Consider the following 6,383-nt stretch of genomic DNA (forward strand, 5'->3'; position numbering starts at 1 on the left):
ATAGCTGTTATGCGTTGCCCAGGCCATCAGTGCAACAATTCTGAAGTAGCTAGGGGAAATGCTTTCTTAGATTGCACAGCCAGGCACCTAGCCAGCTCCAATGTTGAACTCCGGGTTCCTTTAATTCCCCAAATAGATTTGGCAGCCTTCAAACCTAGGTACAGTCTTGAGGACGAAAAGGCTACCAAGGACAAAGGGTTTATTCAGGATGAAAAATGACTGGAAATTGAATGACAAAGGCCTAATCTGGGTGTCAGAGATAAAATTTCTTTTATCCTATTCTTTCTGTTTACACCTAGTATTGTTTCTGCATCCACTGCTAACCTCCTTCTACAATGGGCACAGGACTATGCAGACAGCCTCCAGCATGATTCCTGTTAGGTCTGTGGCCTGTTACCCCTTTCTAGCACCACCGTGGTGGGTCTCACCTATGCAAGGGAAAGATTGGAGACATTTACAAGTCTTCCTGGATTTAAAACACTGGACCGGCTCACAAATGATGGGAGTGACTAAGGCAAATGTGTCAGAATGGCTGCACAACTTTCAATGACCCAGGACATGGGTCTTTCCTTCACCCAATACTAAAATATATTCATGATGGCACAACTTTTGGGCAAGATGCCTCATTAACTTTCATATAGAAGTATACGAAAAGGAATGAGGGCCCATTTAGAAAGTATAATCCTACGATGCCACTTTTGCACTAAAAATGAGCCCAACAACCATAATACAGGACAGCCTGGACAGCAAGGGAGAGGGAAACAACCACTAGAGAATTGGCAAATTGACTTTACTCAAATGCTACCTGCCCCAGGAGGGTACAAATATCTCCTAGTTCTGGTGGACACCTTCTCAGGCTGGGTAGAGGCATACCCATGCTGCTCTGAGTGGGCAATGGAGGTAGTTAAGGTACTGCTAAAGGAAATCATTCCTCGATATGGGTTTCCTGACATTATCCAGAGTGACAATGGACCTTCATTCACATAGGAAATCGCCCAACAAGTAAGAAAAGTGCTAGGGATAAAATGGAAGCTACACACAGCCTGGAGGCCTCAGTCCTCCAGACAAACTGAAAGAATAAATCATACCTTAAAAACAACCCTCGCCAAGCTATGTCAGGAAACACGGCTAAAGTGGCTTCAGTTGCTTGGGATTCCTCTGCTCCAGGTAAGAATAGCTCCCAGAAGTGGGATCAAATGAAGTCCCTGTGAAATCATTTTCAGGAGGCCTTTTGTAGCCAACTTGTCCCAGGTGGCTAGAATGTCTCCAGACAAGGAACTAGCTATTAAAACTTATGCCACTCACTTGGAACAAACTCTTAATCCCTTGCATAAATTTTCTTCTAACAGAAACGTCATAGACTCCGTGGAAGCCCACCACCCGTTCCAGTCTGGAGATCAAGTGCTGCAGAAAGAATGGAAGGAAGCTGGTCCTGCCCAACAACTACAAGAGAAATAGAAAGAGCCCTATGATGGGCTGTTGACTACCGACTCAGCACTGAAACTAGCAGGCATCAAACCTTGGGTTCATCATATGTGGGTAAAGAAATTCCAGTCGCCCAAGAACTCCACCACAGAAACACCTGTAGCCACTCAATGGGAGGCAGAGCCCCTAGAGGACCTAAAGTTTCTATTCAGAAAACGATAAGAATTTCTTTTATCCTATTCTTTCTCTTTATACCTAATATTGTTTCCGCACACACTGCTAACCTCTTTCTACAATGGGCACAGGACTATGCAGACAGCCTCCAGCAGGATTCCTGTTGGGTCTGTGGCCTGTTACCCCTTTCTAGCACCACAGTTTACTGTGGTGGGTCTCACCTATGCAAGGGAAATATTAGAGACATTTACAAGTCTTCCCGGATTTAAAACACTGGACTGGGTCACAAATGATGGGAGTGACTAGGGCAAATGTGTCAGAATGGCCCATAAACAACTTTAAATGACCCTTTAAATGACATGAAAAGCCATTCTTGATTAACATAACAAGAGACGAAGTTATAGCACTAGCTACTCCCTTGTTAGAACCAAAAGTGCCCATCCAAACTTTTAAACCCCAAAATGTTTGATACCAGAGTGGCTTTCTCCAAATTTGGGTTGGGCTCATATGGTTAACCACCTCTACTGGGCACTTGAGTCAACTAGCCCCCTTGTGTTGGGAACAATGAAACCACTCCCTTGACCACTGACCCAATGCCACATGGGTTATGGGATGGATTCTCCCAGATCGGTGCCAACATATTATAGCACTCCAGCAAAGGGATGTATTTGCCACAGATTGGTCTCAACGGCCCGGCCTAAAGATTGGGAGCAATGGCCCAGTATGCTCCCAACAGGACTCAATGGCTTTGTGGCACCAATTTGTGGCTGTGGCTCCCTGTGGGCTGGCTAGGACGCTGGACTCTAGGCCTCCCATAGCACAAGGTTGCTGGGTAAAAAAAAAAAAAAAAAAAAAAATCCAGCCTGTTGTCCACATATGATTAATAGGTGGACTAGGTCAGTCTTTCATTAGTATGATCATCTAGCTGCAATATTCATGCCCTCAGTAGGGCTAGGAACTGTCATATGGCACATAGAAGCCCTAGCTAACTTTACCAAAAGGGCTCTGAATGACAGCCTCCAGAGCATCTCTCTAATAAATACTGAAATGTGTCACATGCGGAAGGCTATTCTATAAAACCGAATGGCCTTGGACATCCTTACTGCAGCTCAAGGGGGAACTTGTGCCCTCATCAAAACTGAATGCTGTGTGTATATTCCAGATAACTCTGGGAACATCTCCCTGGCATTAAAAGATGTGCACCAGCAAATTCAGGCCATCTCCAGCCTAGAGCTGTCACTAAATGATTTCTTGCATCATGGTTTGGTGGAAGGCCCTCTTGGTGGCAGAAAATTCTGATGTTCTTAGCCTTTCCTAGGCATAGGAGTCACTTTATGCTGTGGAATGTATTGTTACGGTGTGCTGTTTCAGAACATTCCTTGGACTCATGCAGTTATGTTTCAACAGGTGCTACCCCTAAGACTCCGAAATGAAAAATACTTCAGAGAACAGGTGGACCTCTTCCACTCCAACCCCAAGTTCAAGAACCCCTGATGACGACCCCTCTCAGCAGGAAGTAGCCAGAATTATCACAACATCCAGTACCCCAGCAGCTCCTCTGGCACAAGCATGACAGAAATCATGCACAAATTGACAGTGGGGATTCTGGCAGCCCAATTCTCCTTGACAATCACACAGAAAAGTCTGTATGACAATCACACAGACAGGCCTGCGTAGCACTTCAGTTACACAGACTAAGTTCCACAGAGCTGCCTTAACATTGAGCAAATAGTTAAACCTAGGGAAATCAGTGCCCAGACATCAAAGCTAGAAATGAAACGTATGGTCAGTAGGAGCCTTGCATGGGCTTCTCCGTAACCTAGAGCAAACCAAAATAAAGAGACAGTCTTGCATTTCTAGTGCCAGGACCCATCTCGGGTCGATGAAATCTGAGATGAGTCAAGGCATGAGAGGCAGCTGTTTGAATAAATTCATTGGAGCGCCTAAGGCAGATCTCCAGACCAAGCTGTAAGGGAGATAAGATAGAAGTCATCACTGTTGTACCACAGTAGACAGGCCTTGAAGGTACTGGGCCCTTTTAATCAGACTTAGCAAGCATTTTTGTCTCTGATCTTCTAGTCGAAGCAAAATTAGTTACCAATAGGCTTAGGCAAACGCTATACTGCATGTAGGCACATAACCCCAACCTATATAAGCACTAAGAAAATTGTAACACTCTGAGTTGGTCTGGTGGAATTATCTCCGGCCTTCTCCCTGTATCCAGTTACAGCAATAAATTCCATTCTTCCCTAGTTTGTCTGCTTCCCGTTACTGGGCCACGAGAAAACGCAGCCAGACCTGGCTTGGTTCCAGGAACATGTTCCACAGAAAATGAAAGGAGAAAACATGGCATTCAGAAAACAAGAATTTTTACACTGGAGACAACTGAAGGGAATCACCAGACTGATGGAAGGGAATCCCAGGATGACTGTGTGTCCCAGGTCTAGAGGGTGATCAGTGAGATGGCTCTCAGAGAGGTCAGAAGCCCTCAGAGACCTTGTTTGAAAAAAATGAAATTGATAGAGTATCCACTAGGAATAATTATATTAAAAATGATTCAGACAACAGGAAATAGTTCAGGGTTAAATTCGTGATAACTACTTAAAGTCATCAAAAAGGACACATTTGTCCTACCCTCTCTGTACAAACTGTTTTTCAGGGGAATCAAACAGTTGATAAAGGAAAAGTTTGTACTGACAGAAGAATTTTAGCTAATGCAGAAAAAATACTGGATTTATTATTTTTATTTATTTATTTTATTTATTTATTTATTTATTTATTTTTGAGACAGAGTCTCGCTCCGTTGCCCAGGCTGGAGTGCAGTGGCGTGATCTTGGCTCACTGCAAGCTCTGCCTCCCAGGTTCATACCATTCTCCTGCCTCAGCCTCCTGAGTAGCTGGGACTACAGGTGCCTGCCACCATGCCTGGCTAATTTTTTGAAAAATACTGGATTTAAAAAACGCCATTTAAAATACCTTATGAAGTAATATTAACAGATATAGGCAATGATCATCAGTGAGTGCTAAAAAGTATTAGGTGAAAGGTAGGAAAGAGAATTTTATAATGAGGGGATCAGGCTGACACCACCTGCATCCACTGATCAATCTTAGCATCTCTAAAACTGAGATGCTAAATATCTTGTGCCTTATAATGTGACATAATTAGCTGTGCTCAGCATTAATTGTCTTAGTTTGGGTTGTTTAAGAAGCAGGCCTAGGGAGAAGGATTCTAGTACAATAATTTGTTTGGGAGGTGATCCTAGTGGATCTAGTGGAGCAGGAAAGTGTTACAGGGACAGGAAGGAAACCAATAGTGTTTCATCAAAGAGGCATCCTAGGGCCAGACGTGGTGGTTCAGGCCTGTAATCCCAACACTTTGGGAGGTGGATTGCTTGAGCCCAGAAGTTGCTTGAGCCCAGAAGTTGGAGACCAACTTAGCCAACATGAAGAAACCCCCTCTCTACAAAATATGCAAAAATTGGCTGGGCGTGGTGGTGCACACCTGTAGTCCCAGCTACTCGGGAGGCTGAGGCAGGAGAATTGCTTAAACCCGGGAGGTGGAGGTTGCAGTGAGCCATGTTCATGCCACTGCACTCCAGCCTGGGCCAAGCAAGACACCGTCTCAAAAAAAAGACATCATGGGAAACTGAAGCTTAATCCCACTAGGGAACACTAAGAAACAGCATTGAACATATGCCTCAGAGTATATTACCTAAGAGGAGAGGGAGTTGGGGTATTTATGCAACACTCTTCAGTTGTTAGTCAAGGACTACTCTCAGGAAATATTCATTCCCTCATATTTTTGGATTGCATGCACATAGGTCAAGAAGACACTGGTCCCAAAGGAAGCCCTCATGCAAAGAAATGGAACTATTCACAGGTGGAAGTCAGAATGATATTTGCCATGATAGTAGGAATTAAGGGAAAATGGGTAGGCACCAGCAGTGTTTCCTATACTGCCCATGAAGTATTCCTTAAAACAAAAAAAATAGCATGTGTATATTTCTGTAATGTTTCTCTTTTTTTAACACAAGAAGTTACTATTTTTTAAGAAGAGAAAAAACAACAAAGAATTCCACAAGGAAAACTATGCATATGTACACACATGTGTATATGTACACACAAACATTCAGAGGAAAAATATTATGCTACAAGCAAAAGTAATGATGGTTTTACTACATAGCTCAGTTCTAAATCATACATAGTCATGATAATGTAAACTATGAATATAAACCTTAACAAGATTGCAATATAACTAGATGGAAAAGTTGAAGGGATATGAGAATAAGTATGTGTGTGGTGGTGCTGGTAGGAGAAGAGAAATAAATTTTCACTTTCTATTGTGAGAAACCAATAACTAATGCTTCTAAGGTCTGAATGTTTGTGTCACCTTAGGATTCACATGTTGAAATCCTACCCCATGCCCAAAGTGATGGAATAGGAGATGGGGCCTACCCATTCAAGTCTCTGGGACTTGCCAGAAGATTTCTAGGTCAGTCTGAGAAAATTACCCCTCTAGTCAAGCAGTTTCATTTTACCAATGACTCAGCAAAACTGTGAAGGTATACCTTCTCCACCAAGGAAATTTACTCGAATAAAAGCATGGTAAGAGGAATAGGGCTTAAAGAAACCTTGAAATATCACTTATTAATTTCATCTGAAGCATTTCCTTGTGGTTAACATAGTCACTTTTTTCCTTAGAAAAAAAGCCCCCAAATAATGAATTTTATAAGTCCAGGTTATTAAAAATTATATTATTAAATTATGGCTTGCCTGTAATTTAA

This window comes from Homo sapiens, chromosome 4, assembly GCF_000001405.40.
Source record: "Homo sapiens chromosome 4, GRCh38.p14 Primary Assembly".
NCBI lineage: Eukaryota > Metazoa > Chordata > Mammalia > Primates > Hominidae > Homo > Homo sapiens.